Source organism: Homo sapiens, chromosome 1 (assembly GCF_000001405.40).
Source record: "Homo sapiens chromosome 1, GRCh38.p14 Primary Assembly".
Lineage (NCBI taxonomy): Eukaryota > Metazoa > Chordata > Mammalia > Primates > Hominidae > Homo > Homo sapiens.
In genome coordinates this window covers 106104743-106121644 of record NC_000001.11, presented here as the reverse complement: position 1 = coordinate 106121644, position 16902 = coordinate 106104743, and the positions used below count along the sequence as shown (strand labels likewise).

General features: G+C 38.4%; 1 annotated feature.

Annotated features, from left to right (window-relative positions):
* Window positions 819-1335: an enhancer, noted in NCBI's record as "NANOG hESC enhancer chr1:106662932-106663448 (GRCh37/hg19 assembly coordinates)". NCBI's record gives its function as "activates a minimal SCP1, AML or CMV promoter by ChIP-STARR-seq in naive H9 embryonic stem cells {active_cell/tissue: H9 hESC(naive)}" and the evidence as "EXISTENCE:reporter gene assay evidence [ECO:0000049][PMID:30033119]".

Genomic DNA, 16902 nt, shown 5'->3' with positions numbered 1-16902 from the left:
TGTGTTACATCTCTTTCAGTCCTGCCATTCAGTGGGTCCCAAGTTCTTGTCCCACGTCCAGGATGAATGAGGTATGTAGACCACGAGAGGGTGAGAAAGATAGACAGCAGCTTCACTGAGTGATAGACTAGCTCTCAGGAGACCCAAAGTGGGCATCTCCTTCCCACAGGCAGGTCATCTTGATGAATGTCCAGCTCTCAGCAGTGATGAACCTGTAGTGGGTAGCTCCTTCCCCACAGGCAAGTCATTCCAACAAGTTGAAGAAACCTGAAGTGGGTAGCACCTTCCCACAGCTGGTTGTCCTGAGGTGTGTGTGAGTCTGGCTGAGTACAGGGTTTTTATGGGCTCAGAAGGGAGGAAGTACATGCTGATTGGTCCATGGGCAGGCCTGGAAAAAGCACCATAAGTTTTCACTTCAGGCCATGGACTCCATCCAGAATGAGAAGCCTGGCCCACAGGCTTCTGGCTGTTCCTGGCTTGAAGGTGGGGTTTTATCAGGGACCTGCCCCTTTCTGCCCAGGAACCTGTCTGCCTCCTGTCGTCAACATGCCATCTGCAGTGTTCAGGCTGTTCATGCTGAGGGGTGCCTGGAGGCCCATGCTGAGTGGCCCTCAGCCCCCTCTCTGGCCAACCTCCCATGCTCATCAGTCCTCAAAGCCCAGAGGGGGTCAAGGCAGCAGGGGGCTGTAGTGGTCAGCACTACCCCAAGCATGTGCACGCCCAGCCAGGTCATGACAGAACCTGGGCTTGGCTACTACTTTGTTCTGCACTGGAGAGAGTGCCAGGAGCATGGAGAGGCCAAGGAGTGAAAGCAGGCACTACTGAGCATGCAGGAGGAGGGGGAGCATCCTGAGCCCAAGATCACAGGGATTCCAGGATCTGGAGCTGTGGCTGGGTGGCTGCAGCTGTGCCTGGGAGCATGCAGCTCCTTCCCCAGTGGTTCCTGCCCCACTCCCATTCTGCAGCTGGTGTCTTCACAGCAGCCACTCTAAATAAGTTGTTGCTTCCATTGATCTCCACTCTGAAGAGGTACATCTAACTGCCGTTAGAATAGGGATGATGACTGTCTTAATTGCTTCATGCTGACAGGTGACATTGTCTTGGTGAAAGCAGCAGTCAGATCTTCTCTCAGAGGCCTATCTAAGGGTTCTCAGTGAAAGGGAGCTATTGTCTGAAGCTGGATTTGCATGATGATTTGGAGTTTGATGGCCCGAAGGCAAGAAGAGACAAACTGGGTTATTAGAACACATATATCAAAATGAAACAAGGGGGTAAGGACAGCTCAAAAATCTTGAGGCTGCTGACATGCCCAGATAACTGGTGGCTATAGTTATGCCTGCTAAGACTTGGGTGCAAGGGGGTTGGTTTTGGTAAGCTCTCTTGTTCTTATTTTCTCAAAAAAGAAACCTTCGAGTATAGGCACCCTATTTACCCCTATCACCTGGCAGGATTTGCAGGATAATTGCCCAGAACTACAGTACTGACCAAGAGTTGTTTTTTGTTTGTTTGTTCGTTTATTTCTTTTGAAACAGAGTCTCGCTCTGTTGCCTAGGCTGGAGTGCAGTGGCGCAGTCTCAGTTCACTGCAAGCTCTGCCTCCTGGGTTCATGCCATTGTCCTGCAGCAGCCTCCCAAGTAGCTGGAACTACAGGCACCTGCCACCATTCCTGGCTAATTTTTTTTGTATTTTAAGGAGAGACGGGGTTTCACCGTGTTAGCCAGGATGGTCTCAATCTCCTGACCTCGTGATCCACCTGCCTCGGCCTCGCAAAGTGCTGGGATTACAAGTGTGAGCCACTGAGCCCGGCCCAGAGTTTTACATTACCCTTCCATTTTGTTTTTTCTGAGCTGCAACCAGAGATCACTGGTTGGTTCATAGAAATGAGCAGGGTTAGTCTAAAATGCAGACAAATACTTTGAGATTAGAATTTAATGGCAAGTGCGCAATAAGTTTTGAAGTATAATTTTTCTCTCTCCAGTCCTCATGTTTGTTAAAAACAAATCATGATAAGACTGACTTGTTTGCAGAATATTAAATTTTAGTCTTACGTTTAGCCTGATTATTTGTGTAAAGTGAAACAAGAATAATTATTTTATATAGGCTTTTTAAATTGGCTCTGATGGAACTCTGTTCTTAAAGGAACCTCAGATAAGACCTTTTAAAGCCTAGCCCTACAATGAGTTTTTCCCCTCAAATACCTATGAGTTGAATAAATTCCTCTCTTCTCAAAGTCCCAAGATAACTTGGGGTTCCAGGGCCTGTTAGAAAGTGACATTCTTTACAGACCAAAGGTTAGGGACCAGGTGGGGTATGGGAATGGTGTACACAGGCTATGGGGCCAGTTTTCCCAAGGACCTTTTATTGGTTCTGCAAGTTAAGCTTGATACCTTAAAAGGAAGCACACTCTTTGAGGCTAAACTTTAGTAAAACAACCAGTTTCTCCAATTGCATCCTGTTGCAAAAGAAAATGGATTCTTTTTTTTTTTTTTTGAGATGGAGTCTCGCTCTGTCACCCAGGCTGGAGTGCAGTGGTGTGATCTCGGCTCACTGCAAGCTCCGCCTCTTGGGTTCACATCATTCTCCTGCCTCAGCCTCCCGAGTAGCTGGGACTACAGGCACCTGCCACCACACCTGGCTAAGTTTTTTTGTATTTTTAGTAGAGATGAGGTTTCACAGTGTTAGCCAGGATGGTCTCAATCTCCTGACCTTGTGATCTGCCCATCTTGGCCTCCCAAAGTGCTGGGATTACAGGCATAAGCCACTGCACCCAGCCCAGAAAATGGATTCTTATTACACTTATGCAAATAACTATGTTGCCATAGTTAAGAATATTCACATATAGTTTCCAAATTCTGAAGAAACCAGGCAGAGAAACAAATATGCTCCAAATTTTGTTCACAAAGGTATACCTTACTCAATTGTCAAAAGCTATAAATAGCTCAAAATAAAAGTTTTCCTGACTTTAACAAAAAAGATCAGCCATGTTTTAAGCAAAATATTAGAAAAGATTACTTCAGTTTTCTATTAGTTCAGTCCATTCAGTTAACTCTTATTCTGCTTGATATTCATGAACATTTCTGCTCTTCATGAGTCCTGAACATTTTTCCTTTATTCGAATGTCAAAATTGCCCAAGATATCAGAAACCTGCATTTAAGAGCACTTGTCAAAGTTCTATAGATTAATATATACCATCTTTTCAAGAGGATCAAAAGAAGACAATTGTGAATGACAAAATATCTTTGAGTAGTCACTTCAAAAACACAATTGACAAAGAAATTTGGTTATGTCTGTGACGTACAATAAGTTAATATAATTGATAGCATATACTCAGACATTAGAATTTTAAAAATCCCATACAAATTTGGAACATATATTAATATTATTTACTAAAATATAACCTGAAAAAGACTGTTATTTTTATTTTGGCAAACCCATGTGACTAAACATGTAAAATAATCCTGTTTACTTCTCTTTTGGATACTCCAAGGGTCCTCTGTAGTTTCCAAAAGCTAGGGGTTTTAAAAGACAATTTTAAAGCTGTAATTTGATTTTGGAAAGACTATCAAATATGTTCAATGTTTAAAACACTTGATATTATATAATAGAATTACAGGTTATGATAAGTCATTTATTAACCAAAATAATGACTCAAGCAATTTTAAAAAAGCAAAAAACTTTACTCTTTAAGCAGAAAGACTTAGCTTTCCAAATTATCTGTCTCTTGTCTTTTCCTTCTTTTTTCAGCAGTTTATTCACAAGGTTAACAAAAATCTTTCATTGTCTTTTAACATTACATGAAAATCTTGTTTGAGAGGAGAGCCAAATTTCCTTTACATTAGTCTATTATTGATGTCAAGCCAAATTTATTTTAATAAAACCTTATAGACAAATCTATCCGATCTTAACCAGTTTGACCATGAGGTGAGATTTTCATAAAACTTACATAACCCTTTGAAAATATTTGTTACGAAGCAGGTCAGTACCTGAAGAAATTCTTCTTGTGCTTTTTTCCCAATGTGTAATTTACAGAAAAACCAAATAATTTCCTTTTGAATTTACTCAATATGTTCACACAAGAATTGCTTTTACAGGATTAACTTTTACAAACCTTCCACAACTTAAAACTTTTAACTTTATTATTACTAATTTAAAACAATCATTTAACCCTCTAAACTAGGCAAAAATATACATCCCCATGCTGCCCTATAAACTTTTACTAAAAAATTTTTACTTTTTTTACACACCATGCATGTAAATCTGTTTTCATTGGTCTCAGTTACATATTATAATGGTAACTCTTAGCAAATTTTAATTTGGCGTAAAACCTGGTAAGATATTTTAATTAGGTACTAGGTGCAGATAAGGTCTGACTCTTTCCAGCATAGTTAGGGGGTGGTTGCCTTTGTATGTCCCCAGGCCTTGACAAATTGTTAAGAAGGTTAGTTAAACAATTTTCAAAAGCCAAAGAAGGCCAGAATTATGGCTCACGCCTGTAATCCCAGAACTTTGGGAGACCGAGGTGGGTGGATCACCTGAGGTCAGGAGTTCAAAACCAGCCTGGCCAACATGGTGAAACCCCATCTCTAGTAAAAACACAAAAATTAGCCGGGCAAGGTTGTGCACTCCTGTAGTCCCATCTACTCAGGAGGCTGAGGCATGAGACTCTCTTGAACCCAGGCAGGGGAGGTTGCAGTGAGTCAAGATTGTGCTGCTGTACTACCGCCTGGGTGACAGAGCAACACTTTGTCTTAATTAAAAAAAAAAAAAAAGCCAAAGAAGCAGTTTATGACCTTAAAGCATTTAGAACCTAGTTTGTGAACTGCATAATTTAGACCACATGTCTATATTTTGAAGACATTATTATTTTACCAATAATTTTTAAAACTGTTTTTATTTCTCAAAGATTAAAGTCACATCAACTAAGGGGCATTATAGCTTTATTTTTTTAAAATATTTTATCTAAGTGCTTATTTTTCTTTAAGCTAATCAATTAGATATATATTTCATATAAACATCAAACACATAACATAGACAGAAGAAGATCCACTAGTTGTAAGATTTTTCATTTGCCAATCTCCAAATTGGATTACTGGCCTCAGAGTGGAGCCCTTCAAGAAACAGGGCTAGGAAAACATGCAGTTTCTAGAGCCTAATCAACAGGCATAGCTGAAAGACAAAAACAGATTTTGAGAGGGAACAATCTGCCTCTGATTACTGATGTTCCATGAGGAAAAGAGGAGTTTTCTCCCAAAACAAGGTCACTGATGCCTCCTCTGTTTTTCCAAGTAGTCCCAGGCCATCAGAAGTTACCTTAGGGCCCCTCACGTGTGCATTAAGAGTGGCGACAAAAATAGAAAAAAGTAATTCTGTTGACTGAGAATAAAACAAAACCCTTCTTTCAGAACAACAAGATCCATGAAGGGAAAAAGACCTAAAGGCATTTTAAATATACCTATACCTTGGATATTCACTTTATTTTTATTATTATACTTTCAGTTCTGGGATACATATGCAGAACGTGCAGGTTTGTTATATAAGTATACATGTGCCATGATGGTTTGCTGCACCCATAAACCTGTCATCTACATTAGGTATTTCTCCTAATGGTATCCCTCCCCAAGCCCCCCATCCCCTGACAGGCCCCATTGTGTGATGTTCCCCTCCCTGGGTCCATGTGTTCTCATTGTTCAACTCCTACATATGAGTGAGAACGTTCGGTGTTTGGTTTTCTGTTTCTGTGTTAGTTTGCTGAGTGATGGTTTCCAGCTTCATCCATGTCCCTGAAAAGGACATGAAATCATCTTTTTTTTATGGCTGGATAGTATTCCATGGTGTATATGTGCCACATTTTCTTTATCCAGTTGATCATTGATGGGCATTTGGGTTGGTTCCAAGTCTTTGCTATTGTGAATAGTGCTGCAACAACCATGCATGTGCATGTGTCTTTATAGTACAATGATTTATAATCCTTTGGGTATATACCCAGTAATGAGATTACTGGGTCAAATGGTATTTCTAATTCTAGATCCTTGAGGAATTGTCACACTGTCTTGCACAATGGTTGAACTAATTTACACTCCTACCAACAGTGTAAAAGCGTTCCTATTTCTCCACATCCTCTCCAGCATCTGTTGTTTCCTGACTTTTTAATGATCACCATTCTAACTGGCCTGAGATGGTATCTCATTGTGGTTTGTTGTACTAAAAATACAAAAATTAGCATTTCTCTAATGACCGGTGATGATGAGCTTTTTTTCATATGTTTGTGGTCTGCCTAAATGTCTTCTTTTGAGAAGTGTAAGTTCATATGTTTTGCCCACTTTTTGATGAGGTTGTTTTTTTTCTTGTAAATTTGTTTACAAGAAACAAATAACATTGAATCTATAAATTACTTTGGGCAGTATGGCCATTTTCACAATATTGATTCTTCCTATACATGAGTATGAAATGTTTTTCCATTTCTTTGTGTCCTATCTTTTATTTCCTTGAGGAGTGGTTTGTAGTTCTCCTTGAAGAGGTCCTTCACAACCCTTGTAAGTTGGATTCCTAGATATTTTATTCTTTTGTGGCAATTCTGAATGGGAGTTCACTCATGATTTGGCCCTCTGTCTATTATTAGTGTATAGGAATGCTTGTGATTTTTGCACATTGATTTTGTATCCTGAGACTTTGCTGAAGTTGCTTATCAGCCTAAGGAGATTTTGGGCTGAGACGATGGGGTTTTCTAGATATACAATCATGTCATCTGCAAACAGGGACAATTTGACTTCCTCTTTTCCTAATTGAATACCCTTTATTTCCTTCTCCTGCCTGATTGCCCTGGCCAGAACTTCCAACACTGTGTTGAATAGGAGTGGTGAGAGAGGACATCCCTGTCTTGTGCCAGTTTTCAAAGGGAATGCTTCCAGTTTTTGCCCATTGAGTATGATATTGGCTGTGGGTTTGTCATAGATAGCTCTTACTATTTTGAGATATGTCCCATCAATACCTAATTTACTGAAAGTTTTTAGCATGCACAGCTGTTGAATTTTGTCAAAGGACTTTACTACATCTATTGAGATAATCATGTGGTTTTTGTGATTGGTTCTGTTTATGTGATGGATTATGTTTATTGATTCATGTATGTTAAACCAGCCTTGCATCCCAGGGATGAAGCCCACTTGATCATGGTGGATAAGCTTTTGGATGTGCTGCTGGATTTGGTTTGCCAGTATTTTATTGAGGATTTTCCCACTGATGTTCATCAGGGATATTGGCCTGAAATTTTCTTTATTTCTTGTGTCTATGTCAGATTTTGGTATCAGGATGATGCTGGCCTCATAAAATGAGTTAGGGAGGAGTCCCTCTTTTTCTGTTGTTTGGAACACTTTTGGAAGGAATGGTACAGCTCCTCTTTGTACCTATGGTAGATTTCCACTGTGAATCCTTCTGGTGCTGGGCTTTTTTTTTTTTTTTTTTTTTTGGTTGGTAGGCTATTAATTCCTCAACTGCCCAGGAACCTGTCTGCCTCCCACCATCAACATGCCGCCCATGGCACCCAGGCTTTTCTTGCCAAGGGGTGCTTGCAGACCCTTGTCGAGCTGCCCTCAGCCTCTTCCCCATCCTTCCTCCCTTGCTCATTGGTGCCCAAAGTCTGGAGGGGGCTGAGACAGCAGGGGTCTGGCATGTCAGTGCCACCCTGAGCATGTGCACACTTGATCAGGTCATGATGGCACCTGGACTTGGCTACAGCTTTGCTTCTCACTGGAGCAGGCTCCTGGAGCCAGGGGAGGCCAGGGAGCAGGAGGGAGCACTTCCGAGCCTGTGGGGGGCAGGGCAGGCTTCCTGGGCTCCCGATAGTGCAGGGAAGCTTGGGTGCAGTGCCACAAATGGGCAGCTGCAGCTGTGCCTGGGAGCCTGGGGCTCCTGCCTCTCTGACTTGGTAGGGGGCAGGACGCCCATGGGCTCCATGGGCCATGCAGCCTTGGACACACCTCCCCTGCTGCAGCCTACATCTTTGCAGCCGCGGCCACTGATGGGCTGCCGCTGCCATCACTTGTATCTCATTTTCTCTAACATTTCTGGTTTTCTTTGTTAATATCACCATTTTACTATCTCAGTTATGGTCCCTTTTGGCTAATACATCACATGGGAATTATGTAGTTTTCAAAAGTTTATGTAGACATTTCAGAAAAAAGTTCAATCTCTTGTGTAGTGAATGTAGTATCTAAAATAAATAGAAAAGAAATAAATAGATAAATAGGTTGAAGAAAAGGTGCTTTCAGAGTACAATCTTCTAAAAATATAGAAAACAATTGATAGATCAAGATAAGCAAAAAGCTAGGAAGAAGGAATTAGAATAAAAGATAATTGAAGGCAGCACAATTCCTGATAAATAAGGACAGAGGTAAAAATAGGCATTTAATAGATAACTATAGGTCTCAGGTCATTAAGCTGAGGATTCTCCTACCTGATGATTTCACTGTTCTGTATGCTGTAGGAGATAATGTTAGTTGTTGGAAATAAATGATCTAATGGTATAGCAAGGTATTTAAAATCAAGTAAGCTTTGTATAAAAAAAACTGAGGTAACAAAAAACAGAATAAAAATACAGATACTGAGGGTCCATTTGAAATTGAATCTCACATGTATCTGCGTGTGTAGATATGGAGATACTGAATAGATTGATCCAGGATTATAGATATGAAAAATCAAAAGATGAAAGAACTTGAGAAAGCTCACAAGACTAATTAATAAAATAGTACAGCAATTTTTGCTTAATTAAAGAAGAATATAAAACTAGGAGGGAACTCATAAATCCAAAGAAAATACATGCATCATGAAACTGACGGGCTGAGCACGGTGGCTCATGCCTGTAGTCCCAGCACTTTGGGAGGCCCAGGCAGGAGTATCACGAGGTCAGGAGATCGAGACCATCCTGGCTGACACGGTGAAACCTCATCTCTACTAAAAATACAAAAAATTAGGCATGGTGGCGGGCGCCTGTGGTCCCAGCTACTTAGGAGGCTGAGGCTGGAGAAAGACGTGAACCCGGGAGGTGGAGGTTGCAGTGAGCTGAGATCATGCCACTGCACTCCAGCCTGGGTGATAGAGCAAGACTCCGTCTCAAAAACAAAAAGACTGACGGTCAGGACCAGATCAGGGAGTGGTTAAAGTGAAAACAAGGGAAGTGCACAGAGCATGCAGGACAGGAAATGGTAGCCATGGGAGAGAATTAACTTATTAACATAAGCAATCACTACATAAAACAATGCCCAGTTGTGGCCATGGAACTTGTTCTAATAATTAGGAGTTGAAAATGTATGCCCTTACAATTTTATGATTACTTTAGAACTGCGTCTTCTTCGGAGAATAAAGAGGTATTTGATCTAAGAAGTTAAGTGGGTAATGGTATTTGTAGAGACAAGAAAACTTGTACTGTTACCAGGCTGACACTTTCTTGGTGAATGTTTTCCATAAACTGTAAAAGAGAACGTTGGTGTCTGTACTGTTCCCTATGATTTGAAGATTGACCCAGGTATTACTCTAACCCAAAAATACTTATTCTTTCTGTTTTTTTCTTCTCCTTTGCTTAGAGTAATGAGATCTACTTATTTTTTTGTTTCTGAAAAACTTTCATTCATCTAAACTAGGACATAAAGCAACCGCAGAGTGAGACCAGGAAACCTGACCTTCCTTACATTTAGTCATTTGCCATCTGTTCTCTCTATCTCTCTCTCACACACACATATCACTTTCCTATCCATATACTGGTGTAATACAAGCTATTACTCCATTGTAAAGATTCTCCATTTTCTATGTCACTTTCTGATTGCATATTTCTTTGAATTCTTTAAATGTTATTTTCATCACTCATTTTGCTTCTTAACACTATACTTCCCTATAGAACTATTAAACTTTTTCATTTATGTGTCCCTTTTATTTAGTATGCTTTATTATTACTGTAGAGAAAGAATTCCTTTTTATTTATACATCACTCATCAGAGAAGAAAAGTGTTAATAAATGTTTTTAGAATTGAATTGACTTATCAAGAGGAGTAAGTAGGTAATAGACAGATGTACAGAGAAGTAAATCTGCATATTTAGGGAGTAACTTGGCCAATATCCTTTCATCATCTCTTGGGTTATTCATGAAGTATTGTAGATTATTTATCTGTATTGATGCTCAGCAAAAAGAATAGAGAGAAATTCATTATACTTTCATGGCAGCACATTGTACTAAAAGTGGTTACAGGTCACTAATTTTTCCATTATTCTTGTGAGCTCTTAATTGCACACACTATTAGTATTGTTTCTTTTCAGGCAATAGAAAAATGAGTCTTCATAAATGCTAAGCATATCAGTCCATAAATGTGCAAATTGTATATGCTGCTTAATGTAGTGTTGCTGATGTACCCCAACTGAGTTTATGACATACATATTCCTTACCCATTAATGAGACCAGAAGGAATCAGTGAGTATGTGCTTCTGAGCCCTGCTATTGCCATCTTAATGCACGAATGGGGTCACAGCCTGGGCTGAAGCTTCTTTCTTCAAAACAAAAGCCTGGATTTCCAATAAAGGTTGAAAAATACAAGACTTACGTGTTTTTATAAAAAAAATTTACTAACTTTTAAACTCTTGTAATTTTTCATTGGAAGACTAAAAGTAATTTGGAAGAAGAATTAAAACTGTTAATATATATTCATGAGCAGTTAGTTTACTCCTATTTAGCTGAGCCTCTTAAACATGTTTATTAAACAATGACTTAACTGTAAAATCCACCAGGAATGCTGTCAACATTAAACAGCCAGTGTTTCAGGAAAGATGTTTTTAGTCACATCATAATTACCACCAATCTCACTAAATATATAGTCATATGCATTTTGATAACATTGTTATTTTCCTAAGAAATTAAAAATGGGAATATAAAGTCAGAGAGAATATTTTTACTTGATCCTAAAATATAAGTTATCTACTATGAAGCCGATGCCTAAAATAGCTATGTCTATGCACTTAATACTCAATTACTACGTGCTGCCTTGGTGACTGACCATAGCTCTTGGAATAAATCTTACGCATTTCTTGAAGCAGCTGGTCATAAAATATAGATAAATTATTGGAATGTCTGAAGGTTAAACTCATTTTCCAATAAAATGGAAAGGAATTATATAAAAGCTCAGATAAGCAATGGTTTAAAGACGTTTCTTTACTTTCCAAGAACTATGGAATTTCCACAAGAGAAATGGGAAAAGTATTTCAGGTGAAAACATGAAAATGTTCCTTTGGCTTCTGTAAGAGGAATTTCTTTCTAAGAAAATACTTCCTCATGTTTGGAAGAAGAAATTTGTCTGTTTTTAGTTACAAAATATCCCCTCTATCATTCCTCTTAAAAAGCATTGGGCATCCTCAATTTTAAACCTAGACTACATGAACAGTTTAAAAGTATTATTGTGATGGAAATAGTTATGTGTCTGTTTTTATTTCTCAGCAACAAACTCATTGAATTCATGCCTAGTTTATTAATAAGGAATCATAACATCTTTATCAATATCAATTTACTTCATAAGTAGGGAAAATAGATATTTTTATCTCAAAATAAATTATAGTACAACATTCATAGTAGCTAGTGAAATAATCTGAATGATAGAGCTATATGCCATTTTGTTGAGAGTATTTTAATTTATAGAAAACTTGGGCTTAAGTCATCATTTGTAGACAAACCAGATGTGGAGTTGCAAGTATTTATGAATGTTTCAGCCTTTTTATTTACTTTAAAACTGTAAATTTATAATTAATTATTTCTAATTGCAGAGATGGCTTTGGATACTATTAAGGAGTTAGATGTTCAACACTTAGGAGAATTTGAACAAAACTAAATATCTAAAAGTAGACAGTTTGGGGGTAATGTTCTAATTGTCATTTCAAATATGTATTTTTTTTGTTGTTGTTGGTCAACTTGATTTCAACCAAATTGCTCTAAACCAAAAATATCCAGAGCTCTGTCACTGTAAATATTAACAGTGTTGCCATCTCATCCAATGCCAAGTTAGTTAGTAGAAACAATGTATGTTGCTACCAATAAATACATTATATTGAGATATGAGAACAAACAAAAAACTTTGAATCCACCTATAAAAGAGTAGCAGGAAAGCTACATGATGAGTGTGTGTGAAAATGACAAAGTAGCGGTGGAGACCAGGCTTGCGTGGTAAAATTAAGTTTTGCCATTATTGCTGTTGTAGTCTTGAAAAAATAATTATTTCAATTTTCTTTCTTTCTTTCTTTCTTTCTTTCTTTCTTTCTTTCTTTCTTTCTTTCTTTCTTTCTTTCTTTCTTTCTTTCTTTTTTTCTGGAGTTTTACCCTTGTTGCTCAGGCTAGAGTGCAATGGCGTGATCTCAGTTCACCGCAACCTCCGCCTCCCGGGTTCAAGCAATTATCCTGCTTCAGCCTCTCGAGTAGCTCAGATTACAGGCATGCACCACCATGCCTGGCTAATTTTGTATTTTTGTAGAGACGGGTTTTCTGCATGTTGATCTGGCTGGTCTTCAACTCCTGACCTCAGGTGATCTGCCCACTTCAGTCTCCCAAAGTGTTGGGAATACAGGTGTGAGCCACTGCACCTGGCCACAAATATTCAATTTTCTAACTATAGAGAAGAGTCCATTACACGTAATTTAAAATATTGTCCTTAATGATAGATGTTAAGTCTTGGGAAAGTTTTTAGCTTCTTTATTTCACTTTAACTTCTTTAAATATATGTAAAAATTTACAGTTTTGTGAGCAATATGTCTTCTTCACCCTCTAAACTTTCAGTTGTACACATAAGATAAATGTTAAAAGGAGAGTTAGTTCTTTTTTATTAAATTATTTTCAAAATCATTTTCAAATATTTTAATGGGAAACTATAATGTTTAGTAATCTCCCACTCTTATCTATGGGTATCTTAGTCAATTCATGCTGCTATAATAAAATACTTGAGACTGGGTAATAATCTAAACAGTAGAAATTTATTATTTGCAGTTCTGAAGGCTGGGAAGTTCAAGATTGATGTACTAGAATTGAGTGTCTGATGAGGGCCTTTCTTACATGGCTGAAGGGGTAAAACAGTCAAAAGGGAAAAAACACTGTGTCCTCACATGGCAGAGAAGCAGAAAAGAGAAAAACCCACTCCCTCAAGCCCTTTTATAAGGGCTTATAATTCTAACCATGAGGGCTCTGCCCTCATCACTTTTTCACCTGCTAAAGGCCTCACCTCTTAATACCATTATAGTGGTGATTGAGGCTCACCATAAATTTGAGGGGACACATTTAAACTATATCTACCCATAGTATTTCACCCTGTCCTCAACAAATTCATATCCTTTTAACATGCAAAATATATTTATTCTATCCCAACAGCCCCAACAGTCTTAACTCATTCCAGCACCAACTCAAGAGTCTGAAGTCTAGAGTCTCAACTAAATCAGATATGGATAGACTCAAGTTAAACTTTATCTGAAGAAAATTGCTCTCTAGCTGTGAACATGCAAGATAAAACAAATTATGTGCTTCCAAAATACAATGGTGGAAAGGCAGAAAATAGACGTTCACATTTCAAAAGAAAGTAGGAGGAAAGAAAAAAGTAGTAACAGTTCCAAAGTAAGCCCTAAACTCAATAGGGCAAACAATATTAAATATTAAAGTGGTAAAAGTAATCTTCTACTCCTTGTTCTGACTTTGAAACATACTGTTGTGGAGGTTGAACCTCCAAGGCCCTGGAAAGCCCCACCCTATGGCTTTCTGGGATGTGGTTCACACAAGAGCTATCAGCAATTGCTGTCAGGCACCTAAAGTTCTCTGAGACTGGCATTGCATGCTAATGGCTCTACATATCTAAGGTCTCAAGAGTGATTCTGCCCTCATGTCCCCATTAAACATTGCCCAGTGAGGGCTCTCTCATGGTTCCAGTCTCACAGCTCTTGGTATGGACTCTTTGTCTTGGTATGGATTGTCTTGGTATGGACTCTTTGCAGTGGTCCCACTTTCACAGCTCCACTTGGCATTTCCATAGCTATTAGGGAATCTCTGCAGCAGCTCTGCCCCATAACACTCCTCCTCCTGGTTCCCGAGACTCTCTGAAACATTCTTTGAAATCTAGGTGGAAGTAACCATGTTGCCACAGCTTGTGTACTGTGTGCATCTGCAGAGTTAACACCATATGGATGCCACCCAGGTTTCCACTTGTGCCCTATGGAGTGATGGCCCAAGCCCCGCGTAGCGCAGTTAAGGAGAGCTGTGTTAGAATGTGTGGAGCAGAAACTTGAGGCAGTCCTGGACAGAGAACCCTGGCGTCCCATGGACATCCTTGGCCCCTCGCTTGAAATTGTTCTTCCTTCAAGCTTCTGGTACTCTGAGCCAGTGATAGGAGGAACAGCCTCAATGATCTTCAAAATGCTTTCAGGGTCATTCTTTCATTATCCTGTTGGATAGAATCTTGCTTCCTTCTATCTATACCATTGTCTTTATCAAACGCTTGCTTGGCCACACTTTGGTATTCTCTAACAAATATGCTTTATTATTCTTTACACAGCCAGGCTGAGAATTTCCAAATCTTAAAGTCTGCTTCCTTTTCAATAATAAATTATGCCTTTAATTTGTTTCTCTCTCTTTTTAATTTTACTGTAAGTAATTAAGAGAAGCCATGCAGTACCTTCAGCGTTTTGCTTAGATATTTCTTCCACCAAATATACACTTCATTGATTGCTCTGAAAGTCTGCCTTCCACAACATACAAGCAAACAGACACAATTCAGCTAAGTTCTTTACCACTTTGTAACCAGGATGACCTTTCCTCCTGTTTCCAAGAAGATATTTCTTATTTCCATCTAAGAACTCATCAGAATTGCCTTATTTCCATCTAAGACCTCACTAGACTGCTGATCATGGCTACTTAGATAATCTCTAAGAAGACCAAGAATCTCTCTATAGTTTTCTCTTCTGAGCCTTGACCAGAATTGCTTTTTACTTTCCATTCCTGGCAATCTAGGTGATTTGCAGCATGCACTTCAAAACTGTTCCTGCCCTGCTATTACCCAGTTCCAAAATTGCTTCCACATTTTCAAGAATTTGTTATTGTAGCACTCCACTCCTAGTACCAATTACTCATTTAATCCTTCTGGTGCTACAAAAAAAAATACCAGATAGTGATGACTTAGAAGCAATCAGAATTTATTTCTCACCATTCTGGAGGCTGAAAAGTCCAAAATCAAGGTGCCACCATTACGTTTTCCATGAGGGTCTTCCTACTGCATCTTTTGCATGGCAGAAGGGGTAAAAAGGGCAAAAGAAAAAACATACTGTCTTTACATGATGAAAAAGCCAGAAGAGAGAACACATGTCCTCAAGCTCTTTTATAACAGCCCTAATTCTAGGCATGAGGACCTCCCCTTCATGACTTAATTACTTCCTAAATGTCTCACCTCCTATTATTATTATATTGGCAATTAAGTTTCAATACATAAATTTAAGAGGGACACATTCAGATCCTGGCAACAGTTTATTTACCACCATAGGTCTCAGGAAGAATTATAGTTGTGAATTATAATGGTGGTGTTTTGATAAAATCAATGAATAATCCAGAAAATGAAACAGAGAAATTTTAGGTTGGTTAGTAAGATAAACTAATGGGAAAATAAGTTTTAACTCTTATTTTCCTGAGAGGTGATGAGTGCAGTGGCAAGATCTCAGCTCACTGCAACCTCCACCTCCCGGGTTCAAGAGATTCTTCTGTCTCAGCCAGCCTCTCAGGTAAGTGTTTTTTCTTTTTTAATTGGAAAATTAAATTTGTATATATTTATGGTGTACAGCATAACATTTTGATATATGTATACATTGCAAAGTGGCTAAATCAAGTTAATTAACATATGCATTACCTCACATACTTACCATTGTTTTTTTGTAGTGAGAATGCTTGAAATCTACTTTGTAAGCAATGTCTAAGTATACAATCCATTGCTATTAGCTGTAAGTTACTATGTTGTACAAATCTCTTGAACTTATTTCTCTAGTCAAACTGATATTTTGAATACTTTGACCAACATCTTCCCAATACCTGCACCCCAGCCCCCAGACTCATGTAATTATTGTTTGACTGTTGGCTTCTATGAGTTTGACCTTTTTAGATTCCACATAAACTCAAATCATTAGGTATTTGCCTTTCTGTGCCTGGATTATTTCACTTAACGATGTGCTCCAAGTTCATCCATGTTGCCACAAGATTCTCTTCTTTTTTAAAGGCTGAATAGTGTTCAATTTTGTATATATAATACATTTTTTAAACTCATTCATCCATTGATGAACACAATATGGCAGGCAAAAATAAAAAAAATAGATAAATTAAATCAAACCAAAAATCTTTTGCACCACAAAGGAACCTATCAACAAAGTAAAGGAACAACCTACAGAATGGGAAAAAATACTTGCTAACCATACATCTGAATAAGGGGTTAATATACTAACTATATAAGGAACTCAAACAACTCAATAGCAAGATAATAAATTACCTGTTTTGAAAACGGGCAAAGGACCTGAGCAGGCTTTTCTGAAAAGAATACATACAAATGACCAATAGGTGTATGAAAACATGCTTGACATCATTAATCATCACATAAATGCAAATCAAAACCACAATGAGATAGCACCTATGGCCATTCCCTGGGAATTTAGAATTATTACTAAAAGATTTCAGTTTCAATATGTGCTTACCTTTTGAAGAAAGAATCTGTAAATGCCTGGAAATGTCATCATATAATTTTAAAAACAGAGAAAGTCAGTCCATGGAGTCAGAGAAGAATGAAGCAGATGGTGAGAGAGAAGCAAAAATAAATAATGGTAAGTTATCTCTCCTTTGGTTTCATGTACTCTCCCTGTATTCCCATCAA